Source organism: Homo sapiens, chromosome 1, assembly GCF_000001405.40.
Source record: "Homo sapiens chromosome 1, GRCh38.p14 Primary Assembly".
NCBI lineage: Eukaryota > Metazoa > Chordata > Mammalia > Primates > Hominidae > Homo > Homo sapiens.
In genome coordinates, this window is record NC_000001.11 from 233618057 (window position 1) to 233639304 (window position 21248).

General features: G+C 42.2%; 1 protein-coding gene and 1 non-coding gene across 3 annotated transcripts in view, besides 2 other annotated features; both read left to right on the top strand.

The window, feature by feature from the left end:
• KCNK1 (potassium two pore domain channel subfamily K member 1) overlaps positions 1-21248 on the top strand; it is a 58409-nt gene that overhangs the window by 3951 nt on the left and 33210 nt on the right. The window contains exons 1-3 of one of the 2 annotated variants that reach the window (XM_011544184.3): positions 11580-11858; positions 12452-12747; positions 13348-13432. The exons of the other annotated variant lie outside the window; for it this stretch is intronic. Coding sequence (XP_011542486.1) covers positions 12682-12747; positions 13348-13432 — 151 coding nt within the window. The 5' untranslated portion in view covers positions 11580-11858; positions 12452-12681. Of the gene's footprint in view, positions 1-11579; positions 11859-12451; positions 12748-13347; positions 13433-21248 lie in introns of those variants that run through there. 2 annotated transcript variants of the gene reach the window in all.
• MIR4427 (microRNA 4427) lies at positions 6096-6163 on the top strand. The gene has a single exon (NR_039625.1). It is a non-coding gene; the product is annotated as a microRNA 4427 (primary transcript).
• Positions 10056-10105: an enhancer, noted in NCBI's record as "active region_2744". NCBI's record gives its function as "activates an Ori minimal core promoter by ATAC-STARR-seq in GM12878 lymphoblastoid cells {active_cell/tissue: GM12878}" and the evidence as "EXISTENCE:reporter gene assay evidence [ECO:0000049][PMID:35858748]".
• Positions 17956-18505: an enhancer, noted in NCBI's record as "OCT4-NANOG hESC enhancer chr1:233771758-233772307 (GRCh37/hg19 assembly coordinates)". NCBI's record gives its function as "activates a minimal SCP1, AML or CMV promoter by ChIP-STARR-seq in primed H9 embryonic stem cells {active_cell/tissue: H9 hESC(primed)}" and the evidence as "EXISTENCE:reporter gene assay evidence [ECO:0000049][PMID:30033119]".

The window sequence follows — 21248 nt, forward strand, 5'->3', positions numbered from 1 at the left end:
TTCTCAGGATATAGGATGGGCTCCCTTGTAATGAGGGTCTTCTTCAAAGGAAGGGCAGAGCTTCAGGGAAGAAGGTTAAGAGGAAGGCGAGAATGATCTTCCTGCTTCTGCTGTTTTCTCAAATGCTAAGGTGCCCTGTTTGGGGGTCGCATGCCCTGAACTCCATCACCCTTCATTCTAAAAGATACGGCAACATCTGCATAGGAATCTTATGAGAATGAGTGAAACACTGCAATACAGTTTTGAGCTTTTCAGAAAGAAGAGTTGTATACAAAAAAAAAGGAGGTATTATAGACTGCAGAATTTCCCACAGAACTTCTATACTGTGTTTTTTTTTTTTCCCCAAGGATTGAGGAAATAATGTCCAGGTGATATTTGGGGAGTAAGAAATAATTATTAAACTTTGGTAGCCATCTAAAACTTTGGACAGTGTCGTTCATTCTTAAGAACAATTTGTGATGTTGATTTACTAAAGTTTACTTCTTTATTCATTCCCCAAAGCAAGGCCATGTTATGATGACAACTGTTGGGTAAAAATACAGTTTTTGCCCAGGCGCGGTGGCTCACGCCTGTAATCCCAGCACTTTGGGAGGCCGAGGCAGGCAGATCACGAGGTCAAGAGATCAAGACCATCCTGGCCAACATGGTGAAACCCCATCTCTATTAAAAATGCAAAAAATAGCTTGGTGTGTTCGCATGCACCTGTAGTTCCAGCTACTCAGGAGGCTGAGGTGGGAGAATGGCTTGAACCCGGGAGGCGGAGGTTGCAGTGAGCCAAGATTGCACCACTGTACTCCAGCCTGGCGACAGAGCAAGACTCCATCTCAAAAAAACAAAGAAACATAAAAACAAAACAAAACAAAAAATAATTTTTGTATTCATGCAGTATACAAACTTTTAGTACCTTTTGCTGCTTTGTAAATGTGGGATCCATGTGACAGCTCAGTTCCTGTTCCTTTTTGTTTATTTTTATTTTTTGGAGATAGGGTCTCGCTCTCTCACTCAGTCTGGAGTGCAGTGACACTATCGTGGGTCACTTCAGCCTCTAACTCCTGGGCTTAGTTGATCCTCCCACTTCAGCCTCCTGAGGAGCTGGGACTACAGGCGCACACCACCGCACCTGGCCAATTTTTTTTTCATTTTTCTTTGGAGAGCGTGGTCTTGCTTTGTTGCCTGGGTTGGTCTCAAACTTGTTGCCTTAAGCTGTCTCCCACCTCAGCCTCTCAAAGTGCTGGGATTACAGGCATGAGCCACCATGCCTGGCCCCTGTTCCTGCCATTGGTAACCCTGGTGCCTTTAGCCAGGATGCTGCTTTATCCCTATTTATGAAGAGATGCATTGAAACTCTAGTTAAAGTGTTCAGTAAGTGAACTTAATTGGGCTTGGTGTACAGTGGCTTTTGATTAAGGCAGGTAGGGAGCTGCTACAACATAGGTAGTTTTCAAATAAAGAAGATGGGAAGAGGCAGTGGGGGATGCTGGACTGATCCTTAGTTGTCAAATTATTTTCAGTAGTACAAATGTGTTGTTACCATCAACAAATACTTGTTGCGCTTTTAGAATAGAGTGAAGTGGGCCAGACACGGTGGCTTATGCCTGTAATCCCAGCACTTTGGGAAGCCGAGGCAGGTGGATCACGCAGTCAGGAGTTCAAGACCAGCCTGGCCAACACGGTGAAACCCCATCTGTACTAAAAATACCAAAATTAGCCAGGCGTGGTGGTGCACACCTGTAATCCCAGCTACTCGGGAGGCTAAGGCAGGAGAATTGCTTGAACCTGGGAGGTGGAGATTGCAGTGAGCCAAGATCACGCCACTGCACACCAACCTGGGCAGCAGAGCGAGACTCCTCCGTCTAAGCGAGGGGGGCGGGGGGGCGGGGGGGCAGGGGGGTGAAGAGTAGAACGAAGTGGGCGAACTAGGGCCCCTGGACCTAATCTAGCCCACCACCTGTTTTTGTACTGCCTGAGCTAAGAATGGCTTTATATTTTCAAATGGTTGGGACAAAAAAAAAGAAAAAGAAAAAGAATGTTTTCTGACACAGTCAAGTTTTATGAAAATCAAATTTCATTGTCCATAAACACAGTTTTATTGGTGTGCAGCCACACCTGTTTGCTTCTGTATCATTTATGACTGCTTAGCGGCTAAGGTGGCAGAGTTGAATAGTTGAACAGAAACCATGTGGCCACAAAACCTAAAATATTTACTGTCTCACAAAAAAAGTTTGCTGACATCTGCTTCAGAATGATACTTGAAAGGTACGCTAAGAGTATTCTGAATATTTCACTTTCTTCTGGGAAACTTTGTGTAAGAAAGTTCAGCTTCTCAGACTTCTTTGTGCTGTTGTTCTAAGTGGTATGCAACATTGAATAAATTATGTATCACCACCAACCACTTTCAAAACAAATGTTTATTTCAGATGCCACTTACTTGTGATCCAATTTGTGTCACTGCTTTTTTTTTCCTTTAATGATGACAGTCTACACTTCACATTGTGATTATCTTATCTAAAATGTGCAATAAATACTAAATTATATCTACTATAGAATTTACATAAAATTAAACAAGCAAACTCTGTATTAGCCAGAAGAGAGATCCAAAATCCCATATTCTGATGTTTGTGCTCTGTATTCACAGGTCTTGATTTTGAGCCTTTACATTTAATTCTAGAAGTTTTAATTATCTGGTTTTCAAGCCTATAATATAAGAAATTACAGAGGGAAAGGCACAGCTATGGGGAAATAGACATGGCAGGTTATAAAAAGATAAATAGTTAAAAAATTCCAAACTAAAATTTTATTTTAAAATAACATCTTTATTGAACCCTTTATATGTGCCAGGCAATGTTTACACATATTCATTTCCATGCATTGCAATAAACTGATGAGATATAGGTATCATTGTCTTCACTTTACAGAGGATGAAACGGAAATTAATAGGTTGAACAACTTCTCTACTTAGGTCCCAAAGCCGGAAGTGACATGGTCTTAATTTGAATGCAGTTATGTCTAAGAACCTGAGCTTTAATAGCATCTGGGCATCAGACCTTGTTATGGGCCAAATCGTCTCCCTCAAGTTCTTATGTCGAAGTTCTACCCTCAGTATTTCAAAATGTGACTGTATTTATAGATAACATCTTTAAGGAGGTGATTAAGATAAAATGAGGCCACAGTGAGAAGGTGGCCATCTGCAAGCCAAGAGAGGCCTCAGAAGAAATGAAGCTTGCAGACACATTGATCTTGAACTTGAAGCCTCCAGAACTTTGAGAAAATAAATTTCTGTTGTTTAAGCCACCCACTGGTGATATTTTGTTAAGGCAGCCCTAGCAAACTAATATAGAGGTACATGATAGTTTTTATTTAGTTGCACAAAACCCATACAAATAGTGGAGGACAAGAGACAGAATCTTTTAAGTCTTTAGTCTTGCAACGAACAATTTTATATACCTGAATGGGATGTCATTGTTTTAGAGCGCAATATAGTAATCCACGTCCTTGAATCATCAAGAAAAATATCTCAACATGTTTCTACTTAAGAAGGCAGGGAAGTGTATAATAAATTCTAGAAACATTTCCACCCAATAATGGTCAAAGAGAAGAGATTCTTAGTGTTTAAATCTGTGAACTCATACCTGTCTATAAAACATACCAGTTTTTAGTATTTTGAAGGTTTGGGGTTTTTTTTTAACTATAAATTTGTTATTATCTATGCCTATTTTATAGCCCCTGGAAGATACTGCTACTATTATCAATAACGTGGAAGAAATGATGTCTTTCCTTTTATGACATAACTGTGAGTCCTATCAAGGACAGAATCTTTGATTGAACCAGTATCCTAAGGGAACTCTGGTGCTCTCAGAACAAGCTATTTTATGACATTGCTCATTGGAGTGTTACTGTGTGTGACTGTCATTTTATAGCCCCCGGAAGATACTGCTACTATTATCAATAACTTGGAAGAAATGATGTCTCTTCTTTTATGACATAACTGTAAGTCCTATCAAGAACAGAATCTTTGATTGAAGCAGTAACCTATTGGGAACTCCGGTGCTTTGAGAACAAGTTGTTTTATGACATTGCTCATTGGACTGTTGCTGTGTGTGAGTGTCTATTGTCTTTGGAGCATGTGAATTGCCGACACTCAATTGTTTTGACCCATAAAAATGGCAATTCCAGAAGGTTCAGTTTACTACAAGGTTGGTTTCAGGGACAGAAATCTCATCTGCCTCATATACTCTGACATACTCAGAGTTGCACCTGCTGGCTTTTATTCTCCAAAGACATCTTCCAATTGTATTATTGACAAATCCGTGAAATACTAAGGTGCTGAAGTTCTCCATTGACTGTGTCATGCCCAGGTGGCTTATTCAAGGCAGGAGATAAAGGTTGTCACTTTATTGGAAAGCAAGCAACTTTTGAGGTGTTTTATTGACTCCTGTGATACTTCTATCTCCTAGACTCAGTCTGTACTCTGACTTTCTTTGTTTCTTTTGCATGGATCCCTTATTTTTTGTTCAATCCCCAAAGTTGGTGGCCCACTCTCTGTCAGCAGCATATTGCAAGGTGATGCCCCCGATCTGAGGCTGAATGGAGGAAGAAAGAGAATAGGGAGTTGGAGATGTAGAGTTTGTGCACCTGAAAGGACTGTGGGATTGTCTCCTTGAACTTGAGTCAGATCAGAAGGGCTTATCTGTGACTTTCTACTGGTTTTCATGTTTGCCTTCTTTAATTTGGAAAACAGCTGATTGTTATATTGATGAGATTAATTTGCTTAGGTTAGACATGGGAGTGTTTTTAATTTGCTACCGTCTGCTTGATCCCAGATCAGAGTCTAACTTTTTGCATTAGCTCCTCTGACTGGGATTGACCAACTTTGTGAAATAAAAGCCTGCCCGCTGCTGCCTCTGAGACTCAGTTATTAGTACCCATGGAAGGGCTTTAGGCAGAAAGCTCTCAGGGAACTCAGAGAGAGTCGGTGAAATCATGGCTGATGCATTCAGAGGACAGAAAGCCAGGCACAGAGTGTTAAATACAACATTTTCTCACCCATATGTGGAAGCTAAAAAAAGTTAATCTCAAACAGTTTTTCTAATGCACTAACTTCTGGGATTATCTTTTCAAAAAGAAACAATGGAAGATAATGAAAACAAATGGAAATGGTTAGCAAGAAAAAAAAAAGGTTGGCTTTATAGAAGTGAAAAGTAAATGGAGCATACTAGCATCTGGGAAGGGTACGGGGAGGGGGGATGGGGAGAGATTTGTTACAGGATACAAAATTACAGCTAGATAGGAGGAATAAGTTCTGGTTGTCTATACCACTGTAGAATGACTATAGTTAACAGTAATATATAGTTTCAAGTCACTAAAAGAAAGGTATTAAATGTTCCCAACACAAAGAAATGATAAACATTTGAGATGATGGATATGGTAATTACCCTGATGTGATCACTGTACATTATGTGTATTGAGGTATCACTGTGTACCTCATAAATACGTAAAATTATTACGTGTCAGTTTTAAAAAGAAGAAAGAAACCTTTTGTTTTTTGTTATTGAGACGGAGTCTCGCTCTGTCACCCAGGCTGGAGTGCAGTGGCGTGATCTCAGATCGCTGCAACCTCCACCTCCCAGGTTCGAGTGATTCTCCTGCCTCAGCCTCCTGAGTAACTGGGACCACAGGCGCATGCCACCATGCCCGGCTAACTTTTGTATTTTTAGTAGGGACAGGGTTTTGCCATGTTGGTTGCCATGCTGGTCTTGAACTCCTGGCCTCAGGTGATCCACCTCAGCCTCCCAAAGTGCTGGGATTACAGGTAGCGTGAGCCACCGCACCTTGCCAAAAAAGCTTTCTTTAAAAAAAAGAAAGTAAACCTGAAACTATTCAAGTCAAAAAACAAAACAAAAGCAGGTAGAATGTTTCTAAGGGATTTAGAGAGAGTAAAACATGTTAGGTTTCATTTCTCTGAGTATGATCAATAGAGTTGGAGTTGGAGGCTCCAGTTGTTTACGGTCATCTCTTGTTATGTGGGGGGCTCTGTGACCTGAGTTAAGCTATTTACTCAAGTCGATGCCCCAGTTCCCTATTCACTCTGCTTCACTGAAGCCTCTTGGGGCTTATTTAGACAATGGTTTCATCATTTCGTCTGAATAGAGTCTGAAGAGTCTTTGGTGGAAGTATGCACTGAGGAGGGAGGCGGCAGAAGTGCCCTATCCCAGGAAAGTGTGCTCCCCAGGATGCGCTGAGCCAGGCACACACAGGACTTGGGGCTACTGAGAAGCAGGTTCTTTTCAAGTTCTGTTGTCCCAGACACCTCCTCCATTTCTTCCCGCTCTTTCTCCACAGCACTTAGCTTTCTACCTGCTGGTTCCCGTAACATCTGTCTTCACCTGGCCTCACCTATCTTCACCTGGCCTCACCTGTCTTCACCTGGCCTCACCTGGCACCTGGTTCCCATAGCACCTCTCTTGGCCTCACTTGGCATCCCTAGCACTCAACAGGTGCTCAAAAGGAGCAACTTAAGGCACATTTCTTCATATGTCTGAATCTGTGCCTTTTCTGAAAAATGAAGAAGGTTCTAAAGATGTTACTTCTATTCAAGAGACCTTAGATATAACTTTATTCTCTTGATGAGGAAACAGAGGCCTGCATTGCCAAAATGGGTTTTGAAGCTATTCATATAAAAACAATGATATCTGGGGGGCCTCATGTGTACTCGGTGCACCACAAAAGGCCCTAAGTGATATAAAGAGAAGAGAGGCATTCATTCCTCTCTGAGTATTTGTGGAGCACTTTGGTTACTAGGTGCTACTCCAGGCACTTAGGGATATGTCAGGGAACAAAACCACAAAAATCACTTTTGCCCTCCTGGATGTGTCAGTCTGGGTTGGGATCGGAGATACAATTGTAGGGGCCAAGAGAAAACTTCTCCTTCACCCTCTGAAGTTTCACTGAAAATCACCTGATAAAAGGCAGATTAATAGGAGAAAAGGCATATACAGTTGCTTGACCATAGTTTATGTGACATGGGAGCCTTCAGAATGAAGACCCAAAAACACAGGGGAAACCATTCACTTTTATGCTTAGGTTCAACAAAGTATAAACAGGTGTGTAAAAAATAGGATTGGACCAAAAGGGAATGATCTAAATCTTATAAGACCAAGCGGGGAAGCCCAGCAAGGCCTGTCTGGAATCTTCTCGGCCTCTCTGAGCATGTATTCCTTCCTTCTGGGTGTGGGGCAGCACCCTCTCTGGAATGGGGATTCTTATGACCTACAGTCAAACAAGATGGGTCATATAATTTCATTGGCCAGTTTTACATAGAAAGGTGGAGGAAAAGTTTTATGGTTTTATGGCTGGCTTTGGGGAAATGGGGTTCTGGTCTCTAGGATCCACCTTGGGGAAGAGGTATTCCAGATTTTATGGCTAGCCTGGGGGAGGATGAGGGGTGAGAGATAGGAGGGCAGGAGAAGGTCGGAGAAAAACTTTTGCTTCTGGGACCTTGATTTTGGGTTATCATTTTCTGAGCTCCAGCATGAACAAAGAGATAACTAAGGGAAATGCACAGGATGTTAGGTGGTGATAGGTGCTCAGGAACAACAATGCAGAGCAAAGGAGATGGGGAGTGTGTGATTAGTGTATGGTGAAGGGGGCAGAGTCCAGGATCGTAGTCTTCCATAAAGTTGCCCGTGAAAGCCTTACTGAGAAGATGGCACTTACGTAAAGAGTGAGAGGAGGTGGGGAGTGCCTTATGCAGTTTTCTGGGGAGCTGTGTTCCAGAACAAAGGCACCTATTGGAGGTGCAGCTAGAAAGTGACTGTGGCTGGAGCTGAGTAAGAGGGGAGTGATGAGGTCAGGAAGAAGGGGAGGGAGCAGATGCTGTAGGATGTCCTAGGCCACTGCAAAACATCTGGCTTTTATCTGAGCTAGGGGAAAAGCACCAGGAGATTTTGAGCAAAGGGTTGACACAATCTGACTGACTGTTCCAACGCGTTCACTCTGGCTGGTGTAGGAGGGCAAGGCTGAGGCTGAGACTAAAAGGAGGCTCTTCTGATGACCCAGGGGGTCATCGGACCACCGATGCCTCTCGGTGACTCAGAAAAGTGGTGATGAGAAGTGGTCAGATTCTGGATTCATATTGTTGGCCAAACCATCTGGCTTTGCTGATGGATTGGATGTGAGGGGTAAAAGAAAGAAGAGTGAAGAATGACCCCCGGGTTTCTGACCTGAGCCCCTGGCAATGTGGTTCTTCTTTACAGACCAAAGGAAGGCCATGGAAGGAGAAGGTGTTGGATAAAGAATCTCAAGCAGGTTCCAGAACCTGCTGAACTTGAGATCCCTTTTGGGTGTCCAGGAGGATCTATCTACACAAGGCACACAGTAAACCCTAATGGGGCGTGATGAGGGCCACACTCGGAGTGTAGGTGACAGTGCCTTCTGTTGGTACAGCATGCCGTGATGTCATGTTGTATCACACACATCGATTAACTCACTGCAGAGGCTGAAGAAGGCTTTTGGGGGTGATATCTGATTTTGACCTTGAAGGAAAACTAGAATGTCAGTAAGTAGAAAAGAAAGAAGAGGTCATTCAGACTGAGAATGTGAGTTCCCTGGGCTGATCTGCCATTTAATGAATACATTTAACAACAGCGTTAAATACTTCCAGGCTAAGAAAGAGTACCTAAACTGTAATATTGTTTTCTAATTTAATATTACAAAAGGTTGTTTGGGAAACTGTAGAGAAAGCCCCCAAATGAAGTATTTGCTTCATATTTTCTTAAAATTAACAGTAGGATATTTAGTATTTGATATAATCGTTTAATAAAAATTATATTTTATATAATTCAAAGAATAAATAAATATCTCCAGTACTCTTTTAAGGAGTAGCTAATATTAAATAAAGCCACCAAGGAATGAATCTAGGTGGTTTCTGTTTTTAGGAAGTAAGTAAGTAAAACATGATTTTTTTTTTCACAAACAATCTAAACATTTTAGGAGTGTGTCAGGTTCAAATAAACACATTGACGATTTTTACAGTTTGTACTGATGGGAGGATTTTCATGTGACTCTCAGAAAAACACCTGAGTGATTTTCATTTTTACTGCATTGTTGCTTTACTGTTTGAAATGATCCCATGAGTATAACAGGGCTGGCTCCTTGCTCATTATTGATCATCTAAACATCTTCTTTATTTCCCTCAAATACTGTATTTTTTATGAAGCCACAGCTTGTAAATAACAGGAAGGGAAATAAAGTGTTTTAAACTAGAATTAAAAGGTTAAAATATGGTTGTAACTCACATTCTTCAAATGTTTGAACACGGGTTACCAAGGCACTTAATTATTTAAAAACCATGGTTAGATGGATTAAGTTAATTAAAGAACCTGGAGAGGCTGTTCCGCAGCTGCCTAGGTGTCAGACTGACTCAGAAATTCTGACTCAGAAATTCTGAGTAGCAAAGCGCCCACATCGCTACCTACCTGCCACCCAGTGCTCTGACACGAGCCATCTCAGAAAAACAGTCTGTCGCCCACGGGCCAGCTCCAGCAGATGCACCTCGCAGTGGGAGGGTGGGCGGGTGCGGATGAGCTGAGCCGTTTCGCACCCCCAGACAGCAGGGAAGAGCACTGTTGTGTGGATCCACAATCTGTCATCCACTGCTACTCCCATCTCACCCTCCCCTCCACTGCAGAGCAGCTGATGTTTGAAAATCCAACCAACCAAGATGGAATAAGGAAAAAAAACTAAAATTTTAAGAAAGTTGGGGAGCACAAAAAAGCAAATTTCTGTTAGTAGTTGATGGGATGTGACCTAAAGCAATATTTGCTCTTTCAGCAACTCTGGTGGAACACCAGAGTTATTTGTAATCTGAATGAGGCTAAAAGGATATGTTTGGCACCTGAACTTGCCTGTCTAGATTCTCTGTTTCGCTTCACTCAGAACTATGTTTTGTGCGTTGACTTGTGTTAGTCATCTCTACCCAGATGTCTGGGCTGTGTCTCATTGACCCAGTGGCAGTGGAGTATGTGTGCCCTCAGAATTTCTTCTGCCTGTCTTCAGTGTCCCAGTCTCTACACAAGCTCAGCTAAGGGTGGTGCCATCTCACGGGAGCATTCCCTCATAACCATCACTGGCTTGGGGAATGGAGCTGGCAAATCAAATTGTCATCGGTGATATCAGGCTGAATGAATACTATTGAAAAGTCCAACCTCGAAGATGGAAACAGTAGGTATTGGAGAATCCAGAAGAGGGAAGGATGGAAGGAGGGCCAGGGTCCAGAAACTACCCATTGGATACTATGTTCACTATTTGAGTGATGAGTTCATGAGAAGCCCAAGCCTCACCATTATGCAACATACCCAAGTAACACACCTGCACACGTACCCCCGAACCTAAAGTACAAAAGAATTGTAACAATTTAAAAAGTCGGCCGGATGTGGTGGCTCACGCCTGGAATCCCAGTACTTTGGGAGGCCGAGGTGGGCAGATCACCTGAGCTCAGGAGTTCGAGACCAGTCTGGCCAACATGGTGAAACCCTCATCTCTACTAAAATTCAAAAATTAGCCAGGCGTGGTGGTGGGTGCCTGTAATCCCAGCTACTTGGGAGGCTGAGGTGGAGAATTGCTTGAACTTGGGAGGCAGAGTTTGCAGTGAACTGAGATTGTACCACTGCACTCCAAGCCTGGGCAACAGAGCAAGACTCTGTCTCAAATAATAATAATAATAATAATAAATTTTAAAAGCCCAACCTAATGTAGTGAAAAGTGAGAATCATGAATTATTTTTAGGGAAAATGTTTATGTTCAGAGATACTGAATGACCTTACATAGACTGAAGTGAATGTGCGGATTGGAAGTGTGAAAGCGTTGAACTGGGGATTGGTGGCCTGGGTTCTCTTCAGACAAGAATTCATTGTGGATTTCTCTAGATTTCGGTTGCTTCAGCTATACAATGAAAAGGCTAAGTAAGACCCCCTTCTAACTCTAACATTTTATAATCCTAGGTCTTTGGAATATTTACTGAGTACATCCCAACATGTGGGGATGCATTAAAAAATACTGTAAAGGGATAATCACTGAAATATAAAAGCCCACAGCCAGCTGGGGAGACTCGACTGAAACATCAAAGTCCCAGAAAGCTGCATAGGGTGTAGAGACCTAACTGTTGAATTGTATGGGACCCCATGGTAATTGGGTAATTGGGTAAGTGGGTAACATCTGTAGGACTTTGATAGGGAGATGGCTGAAGTGGTCAGGGAAGCTTTATGGAGTAGGCGCACTGAGATAAACAGGCAGTATGGTAAGGTTAGGTAGAGTGGGCCGGGGAAGAGGGTTGTTAAGGAAAGGGACATATACTCAGCACACCCATCCAGAAGTGGAAGGCAGCCTTGCCTTAGAGAGACCGTGAGGGTGCCAGCCTCTCAGAGCCAAAGCTCCCTGCTGGCACACAGCAGCAGGCGACAGGCACTGAAGGTGGAGGTGAGACGTGGGAAGCAGATCTGGCACTTGAGTCAGTAGAAAATGGGGAGCCTCTGTGGGCTCCTGGTCCTGCACCGTGATAAATAGCCTGTCCTGCAACCTGGCTTAAAACAGGGAAAGCCGGAGTTAGGCAACAGAGTGCCTAGCTTTCTCAGTCATTCAAACACAAGCACGGAAGAAGAGATTGCACTGACCAGAGGACCGCCAGGGTGTGATGCTCCGTAGTCGCAGGGATGAAGGAAAACCATGGGCGGAGCTTGTCATGGACAGCTCCTAGGTGGACATAAATGGAAACTCATTGGTTCTGGGGCACGGCGGGAAGAGGGAGACGGCCCTGGACGGCCGCACCAAGAATTTCACAACCCAAACCCGACTAGAAAGCCTGGGTGAGTAGCGAAGTTGTTGCTGTACGTAGGAATATAAGTTTTTTCTGGATGTGTATGTGGCAGGGGATATAGAAGGGAACAACCCCAGTTCTGTGTCTCTTCACCTCCTGATACCTGTGTGGGCCGGCCTGACCCCAGACATCAGGTGTTCTTCTGAGAGGTGGGCAATGGGAGCTGGTTCCACCATCTGAATTCTCATGGATTCAGCCGTAAAATGATGAGTAACCTCTCAAGGGTGTACCTGTAGGATGCTGCTTGTAATTACTGTGTCAGTTAGTTACAAATGGGTACTTCTAAGTAGTTTTGGAAGCGTTTGAGTAGTTGCTGCAATCGTGTTTATACTGTTAATTGGCTTTAAATAAATTATTTTTTGTCAGAGCAAAACCCCAACTTCAGTTCAGTTCCTACGTCACTGAGTTGTAACTTAACTAAGCTTTAGTTTACTCTCATCTTTAAAAGAAACAGGCATTCTTTGCATTTTGTACAATGCTTTGCATTTTGTAATTGTTCAAGATAACTTCTTGGTACATTGGCCTCAGATTAAGGATATCTGGCTTCTCTTTAATCTCTTAATATTTTCATTTTTGCTCTAGGGCTCCCAATATTACAAGTCTGTTCTTGACAAGGAAGTTGGGATGACAGAACTACTGTATGAAAACTCAGAAATGCTCAGAAGTGCAGACCTTTGGTTCTGTTTTCTTCCTCATCAGATAGGAATTTTTTTTAACTACGCACAGAATCACACTTGCGAAGTCTTCTTTTCCTTCTTGTTACTTTATTTAGAAGCTGTGAACTCAAGAAGTAGGTCCCATGTTGAATCTACATGTGCGCAGGTGATTCTTTTAGCCAAGTCATTTCCACACTCATGCCCAAGTCTGGAGATACACAGGTATGTGGAAATGTTTGAAAAGCAAAACCAGGTTGATGAGACTTTCAATCTCTTGATAACCTGTCATCTAACCTCTGAGGGTCCACTCTGGTAAATGTCAACGTCAGACATGCTACCTCTCCAGGTCACCTTGGTCAAGTGCACTTTCAGAGCAGTGAGAGCACCATAGAAACTTGATACATAGCTTGTTTGCAGCAAAAGAGAGAGGTAGATATTAGCATTTCCAAAAGAGCTACTTAAAACAATTATAGTAGGTTGAATATGAGCCCTATAATAATGTCACCCTTACTTCTGTTCTTACATGTTCTGACAAGGAAAAGACCGTGCCTCATCTCTGGCTCTCAGAATTGTCCATCATCCACAGTCTATTTTATTTATACCTACGTGGTAACTGCTAACTCAAATAGGCGTGATGGTGACCGATTATCATTGTGTTTCCCTTTGCCACCAGGTGCGGGTTTCTGACAACATCAAGATATGAAAGGTTGTCACTCACTGAACCCCTAATGTGTGTTTAACTGTTGGGGAAGAATGGGAATCACTGCCCTGAGACACAGAATTTAATTAGGCCTGCTTCTTTGTGTTTCTCTTTAATGATAGGATTTTAAGCTCAACGGTTATCAGCTCAAAAGCAGAAAATGTTCATTCCCGTTTGTGCCCTGGTATCTTGAAGAATGTGCAATAGGTGAGCTTGCCATTAATCTAACTGAATTTCTCCCTGCTTGTAGACATTATGGTTTTGAAAACAGCCTTCTAAGAGTGCACTAAAGTTACCCTACCCTCACTCATCATCTCTACTCTGCAAGTCTAAAAATGTGGCGTGTGTCAGGGTACACAGTAAGACAATTCATTTATTTTTAAGTGTTTCCATTCTCCACTCATTTCCTCATCTGTGCAGTGAGGCTGAGCTAGAATTTAGCTGTGTGTTCCTAAAGAAATGTGCTCACTGTTTTCACACATTAGCCTTGTTCCTATGCTGGGTCTGATTACATGCTGATAGATTCTGGTTTTTTTTAAGCAAGTAATTCTCCTTTTCCCATTAAATGCAGAGGTAGAGGGAGGAGTTTCATCCGGAAATGTCCCTGATTGAGACTGTCTTCTAGGTTGGTCCTCTTTGGCTCGAACAGAGGGAACCACTGCATTAGGCTTGACAGAGGTCTCATAGTTCAGCCTGGCTGTAGCCCTGGAAGTCAGTTGGACAGCAGTTGCCCAAGATGCCATGACAAAATTTACCCATCCTGTTCCCTCTTCCACGTGCGTGCTGCTGTGCTTACTGGAACAGGAAAACATTGCGTTGTCTTCTGCTAAGTGGGAATAGGACATTTGGCTGAAAAGCTTCTTATCATGGGCTAATATGTGCTCTGTCCACTCAGCTCAGGGAACTCTCTCATTTTATTCCCACAGGCTGCTGCTTAAGTTAATGATTTCTTTGATGACAGGTTCTGCATGAATTCACTTTAACATCGTTGCTCTGTTTTCTACTCTTTTTTTTCTCCCTAAAAATGTGAGCTCTAATTTGAAGCTAATAAGTTTTGACATGCAAGCAACCAAATTACTGGATAGAGCAAGGAGAATATTTTATTAGTAATTTTGACCAGATAGGATGGTAAGGTCAGTTAATGAACTAATGAACCTCAGGGTTCATTTTTTTATAACCTTACCGGGACTGGATTTCTTTCTTTCTTTTTTTCTTAAGCTGCCAACAGTTCTTGTCAGGATTCAATGTAGATGCTGCTGCTGGCTGTCCTGGTGGTGGTTTGATCTCTGTTGTGTGGGCTTCACAAGGGGCTCTGGTTCAGTGATTCCAGTAATGGCTACCACTCGGTGACCACATAGTGTGTGCTGCACACTGGATGTGACTTTTTTGTCCTTCCCTGCATTGGTGCTTCTGCTGTCCACTCACTGGTCTTAGAGGTCCTGGCTTTTCTTCCTGAGGATCGTGGGTTTGGGCCTCTTTTCAGAAGGAGCCCAGTGTGCACCTTCCTGACTGGCAACTCTGCTTTCTTTGTCCTCCTGCTGTTCTCCCTCATCAGGTTCATTAGCAGTTCAGCTCTCAGGACTTAGTTTTTTGGGGCATCCCATCTCTTAGGCAGTCTTTTCATGTAAAGACATTCGGAAGGAGAGCATCCTCTCTATTCTCAGAAATGTTTTGAAACCTGTTTTCTCAGTGTCTTGTGTCTGCCTGCAGCTCCCAACCAGATCTTCCTCCTTGGCCTTTACAAAGACGAGGTTCATTTTTGTTGACTTGGGTTTGCTTCTGTCTGCCATTTCAATGATAACTGTGTTGATTTTTAGTGAGTGAATCATATGAAAATAGCAATGAGAGCCTGGAGAAACATGGGGTGGAGAAGAGGAGGTTACAAGCAATACTGGTTTCTTTTGTGACCCTGAGAAATCTATCCCATACTAGATGGATTTGCCATTTGCCTTCTTCTGACAGGTATGAAATTGTCAAAGTATGTAAACAAACAAACAAACAAAAAAAACCACACCACATTTTTAGAAGAAAGCTCCATTGGAGTATGTATTATAGGATTCTTCTGCAGAGCATTTTCATGTAGGTTATCATGTTAAAATAAGCTAGATTAACATAATGTCCTTGGGAAATGATGATAGCCCAATGAACTTAATGTTTGTTTTTCTGAAGGATTCAAGGGATATTCTTGAATCTGAGAATATGTGATTTCATTACACTCCTAAACCACCAATTCTGTAAGGTGAAATTTGAAGTCCTATTATCAAATAGGCCTATCTCTCTAGAAAAATAAAGTCATGGTGCTAATTTGTCTAAAATCTTGATTAATGCCCTGTAAAATACTAAATTTATTTAGTGTTTAGGAAAACTCTGAAAAGGACACAAGCTTTAGTATTGCAGTTTCCAGTGTCTAAAATTCCATGTTTTTTTCATTTTAGGAGGGATAGTTTTTGGTTGTTGTTTGGGCTTGGAAGAGAGGATTTTAAAGGAAGAGATACAAACAGCCCATGATTTAAGAAGAAAACATTAAGCCTCGTTAATGGTAGGTGTTAGGGGAAAACCCTAACATTAGCCTCTAGCATGAGGGAGTGAAATTAACATAGTCACACATCCGCAACACAGCAGTAGTGTATTCATTTATTAATAGCTGGGTACAAAAAAATTGTGAAGACATGTGCTTGGCAATGACTACGATGAGAAGGGGACTATGAGAAATAGACACACACAATAAGAATATTTACATTTTGGGCCGGGCGCAGTGGCTTACACTTGTAATCCCAGCACTTTGGGAGGCCGAGGCGGGCGAATCACAAGGTCAGGAGTTTGAGACCAGCCTGGCCAACACAGTGAAACCCTGTCTCTACTAAAAATACAAAAATTAGCTGGGTGTGGTGGAGGGTGCCTGTAATCCCAGCTACTTGGGAGGCTGAGGCAGGAGAATTGCTTGAACCCAGGAGGCGGAGGTTGAAGTGAACTGAGATCTCGCCACTGCACTCCAGCCTGGGTAACAGAGCTACTCTGTCTCAACAACAACAACAACAAAAAAAAAAAAAAAGAAAAAGAAAATACATTTTGGTATAGCTTTTCAGGTTCTTAAACTGCTTTCACAAACTTCACTTCTCTTGGTAGTTAAAATGTTTATGTGCGGACAACAGGGCAGACACTAATGACTCCTGTTTCTCAGATGTGAAATCTGAGGCCAGAAAATGTATCAATAAATGGCTGCTTAATGTGCAGCAGTTGGAAGTGGCAGTACAGGTACTCAAACCCAGGTGCTCAGACAGTCCCGGATGGAGGCTGTTGGAGAGAGTCAACGAGGCTGAAGGCAGAGTTTTTAGCAAAGCAGGGCTCATGGGATTGTTATGCCCACCAGATGCTCTGCAACAGTGACTTTAGCTTTATTAAGTGCCCTGGTTATTCTTTAGTAATAAGGGTCACTAGGGAAACTTCTGTTGCTAATGCTCATGCATTTACACTTCCTTAGAATCACTTAATGAAAAGCTGAAGGAAAAGCAAGATCATCTGTTGGGAGCAGACAGAAGCCTGATTAAGTTTTTCAATTTGCCAGTATGTCCTGCTGAGGCATATGAGTATGAAGTGGTCATTATGTCCAGACAGAACACTTCATCAAAGAAATAAGTGTTTCTTTTCCAAGTTAAATTGATATATATTATAACCCTCACTCGTACTCAGGCTTCTACTCCTTGGCCCAGCTCCAAAAGAAAGAAGAGTGTTTACTTATAAATAATTCTCTAGTCCAACCTATGGACCGCTTAGGCCAATTCTTTAAAACAGAATTCTCCTAATAGCCAAAACAGGTAAATATCCAAGTGTTTTTTTTCTTTTAGAAACTACTTTAAGATTGTGTTAACAGCAGTTATCAATTTGTGAAAGGAAAAATTATCATCTTTTTTATATAAATGTTTTATGTATGTACTTGGTTGGATGGGGAATATCCCTGAGGGTATAGTCAACACAGAAAAGCACAATAAATAATGATATTTCGCTAGAAAATAAAAGCCATATTTAGTGTTTATTCAGGTCACACATATATTTTGAGTTCCACTGTGAGCCTGTCTCTGCTAGGCTTGAAATATGGTAATAAACAACAGATAGTCTTTGTCTAAAGGCAACCTGGAATCTGCCTCCAAGATCATAACATTTTTGTTGCTTTTCATGCTTTTGAATTGTTGAGTAAAAATGGAAGCTTTAAGCCAGTAGGGCATCACGACTATATATATTTTTTATTTCAAATTATAATACTTCTTTATATATGATTTGATTAATAACATGTTAATAAGCCATAAGCCAATAATTTTTTTTTGTTAAAAACTAAGCTATGAATTTGCTTTTGCCGAATGAAATTTATTCAATCATTTGCTGATCCATTTATTCATACTTGGGCAAAATATTTTGGGGGCACCTACTGTGTGCCAGGCATGTTTTTAGATGCTGAGGAACATCAGGGAACAACAGACTAAAATTCCTGCTATGTAATATCTATTTCAGAAGGCAAGAATGACAATAATATAAATAAATAAAGCATAAAATATTTTACATAAAATAAGTGTTAAGAAAAAATACAATAAAGCATTGAAAGGTGATATAAGGTTTGCATTGAAGAGAACGTTGATATTTTATATACAGTGACTTGGGTAGGCTTCTCTGAGTAGGCGACCTGAAGTTGGTGAGTAAGCCAGCTCTGCATAATAGGGGAAAGACCATTCAGGCCATGCGGGCAGCCACGTGCAAAGGCCCTGAGCCAGGAGTATACCTAGTATCGAGCTAAGAGGCCAGTGTGGCTGGAGCTGAATAAACAGTGGGGAGTCGTAGCAGATGAGATTAGGGAAGTAGTGGAGTCAGATCATGTAGGACCTTATGGGCCCTGATAAGGATGTTAGGTTTTGTTGTAAGCAAGTGAAGTTGAGGAGTAACATGATATCCTAGTTGAGTGAAGTTGAGGAGTAACATGATATCCTTGTTTTCTTAGGGTTGCTGTGGCTCCTGTTTATGGGAGGCTGGGGCCGATCAGGGAGACCAGCTGGGAAGCTATTACTGTAATCCTCAGAGAGATCTCCGTGGCTTGGGCTACAGCAGGAGAGTGAGAGTTGGTGGATTCTGAATGTCATTCAATGGTAGAGCTAGTAAGATTTGCTGGTGGATTGGAAATGAGTGAAAGAGAGAACAAGAGATAAGTGAGGCTGCAGGATTTTGGCTTGAGCAACAGTGAGAAGAAGGTGCCACTGACTGAGAAGAGCTAAACCCCAGTAGAGCCAAGTTGGGAGGTGGTGAAAAAAATCCAGGTGCTCAGCTGTGGATCTGTTAAGTTTAGATGCCTGTGTGATGGCCAAGTGGAGATGCAGAGGAAGAAGTTGGGTGTGTGGGTCTGGTCTCCCTCACATTAGATATCTGAACAGGGAGGAATCGGATCACAAGACTGGGGGGTGGTTAGTGATGTCATAGGAAAAACAGGTGATCCCTCTAGGACAAGGGATCACGAGAGAGGTGGAGAGGCATTGAAGGCAGCAGGGGGATCATGGTTTCTACATGTTGTCCTGCAAAGGGGCACAGGAGAATGGGCAGTAGGTGGCAGGGAAGTGGAGGATCAAGAGATGGTGTTTAAGATGGTGAGATGGGGCCAGGTGTGGTGGCTCACGCCTGTAATCCCAGCACTTTGGGAGGCCATGGCGGGAGGATCATGAGGTCAGGAGATCAAGACCATCCTGGCTAACATGGTGAAACCCCATCTCTCCTAAAAATTCAAAAAATTAGCAGGGAGTGGTGGCGGGCACCTGTAGTCCCAGCTACTTGGGAGGCTGAGGCAGGAGAATGGCGTGAACCCAGGAGGCGGAGGTTGTAGTGAGCCAAGATCGTGCCACTGCACTCCAGCCTGGGCGACAGAGTGAGACTCTGTTTCAAAAAAAAAAAAAAAAAAAAAAGATGGTGACATGGAAGAGCAGTAATGGTTATGGAAACAAGGCAGGTTCACTGGGCTGTGTTTTTGAGCAGGTGAATGGGGCTAAGACCCCATACCCAGGAAGCGAGCTGGCATCAGAAGCAGAAGACTGAGGTCATTTTTATGGATGGGAGATGTGCTGGTGGGTTTTTAGAAGAGCTCATGTCAGTTGGCATCCATTTCTTCAGTAAGGTGAGAAGGTAAGGAAAATTAGAAACAAAGGACTTTTAAAAACTCACCAATATACATACCAATTTTTCTGCCTATCTCTCAATTTTCACCATCCTTTCTTTCAAGCTAGACTCTCAGCTCCTTCAAATTAAAATTTTCCATTTGGCAATGCAAGTTTATCTTTTCTTAAAGACGGAATGACCAGCCTTTTGATGGAAGATTTTATGACTCTGGTGTCTTCCAATGACGTGACCAGTGATGAGGTTTGCATCTGTGTAAAACCTACAGATTGGAATTCTGCTTTCTGGTGCAATGTAGTGTTGGAATGTAATGTCGTTTTGGGAACCTCAGGATTGAGAGCAAACCCAATTCAATCATTGGAGGAGCAAGAAACTCATTTTACGTTTTAAATGGTTCTATTCACTGGGCTGAATAGACTCAATATTTAAAACCCTTAAGACCAGTGATTCTCAATGGGTTGTGGAGGGAGAGGGATAGGCAATTTGAAGACTCAGTAGTATATTTAATATTTACTATTTATCATGCAATTTATAGAAATGAATGCTTGACAATGTCGTGGGCTGTGGAAAAATGAAAAAAAAAAACACAGGGTTGTCCTCTCCTGCTTCTGTTATATTTATTTTTGTTATGTTGTTTATCCAAAGGGGGCATTGATTATAACAGTTAGTAAAATACTGGTGTGGCTATTCACCTTTGTTAGCTTATATGTCTTAAGTGGTACAAACAAAGCCAAGTAAGTGTCTGATGTGAGATCCTTAAAACCGGGAGGCCTGGGTGCTCCTTCTTCCCCTGACTCCAGTATTCCTGCCCTGGACAGTGAGCCCACCTGAAGCTCTTTCCTGAGGTCCCACAAAGAAGGGTCTGATGGTTTTATCAGGAAAAAAATAATTAATTTTTTAAAATTTTAAATGGAAAAAATTAAATTAGTTAAAAATTAAAAATGGCTCTTTTCCTTGTTTCTCTTGTTTTTTGATGACCAATACCTAAAAAAGAGAGAAAAAAAAAAAAGAATGAAATTGTCAACTCAAGAAATGAGGGTTTTGCAGAAGGGAGAATGTTTTTCTTCCCCAGGCCTGATTGGACTGGAGCACTGCAGGGTAAACTGTGCTCTGCAGCAGCTTTGTGAAGCAAATCGTTGACCGATTGTGGAGGCTGCAGAGCAGTGATGGCCACGGTGACGCCAGCCTCAGGGCCTCCCCTTGAGGAGGCTCCCTGGGCCATCCTTTTGGGGCTGAGTGGCCATATTGCACAGGTGCAGGGCTGTGGGGAGCCAACCGAGGACACACAGCATGTGATGAGCACTCCAGCTCTGCATCCATGGGCTCGATGACTAAGTGAGGCCATCCATGTGCAGGGAAACGTTTTATGCCAGAGAGTAATATTTTTGGAAAGGGAGGAACTCATATGATTCTGCTGAGCAGCTTGTTCTTCCTACATTTGGCTCTGTGGGGTAGTGTGTATGTCTGGAAGTGGCAGTTACATGTTTCCCACTACCTCGGGGTAAATGTCCACAAAAAAATAACACTCACTGTTTGGGAAAATTAAAAAATAAGCCTAGGGATGATTAGGTTCCTCTGATCCAAGTCTTTGGAAGTCTTCTCTCCACATTTGTGCACCCATGTGTGGGTTTGTCCTGGCTGATGGGCTCCAGTCCTAACACACCCAAAAAACAGATGAATATATAGGGCTTGAGTTTTTCACTCATATGATCCTGAATTAGGACAAAGTCCAAAGAAGGGGCTAACTGACCTCACACAGTACTTGTTCTCCTTTTTCTTTCTTATATAGCATATTTTTAACCACTCATTTGGCCCCTAATATCCTGTTTTGCATTTTTAAATGTTCTTTGCTTTTTGACTCTACAAGTATATTTTTCAT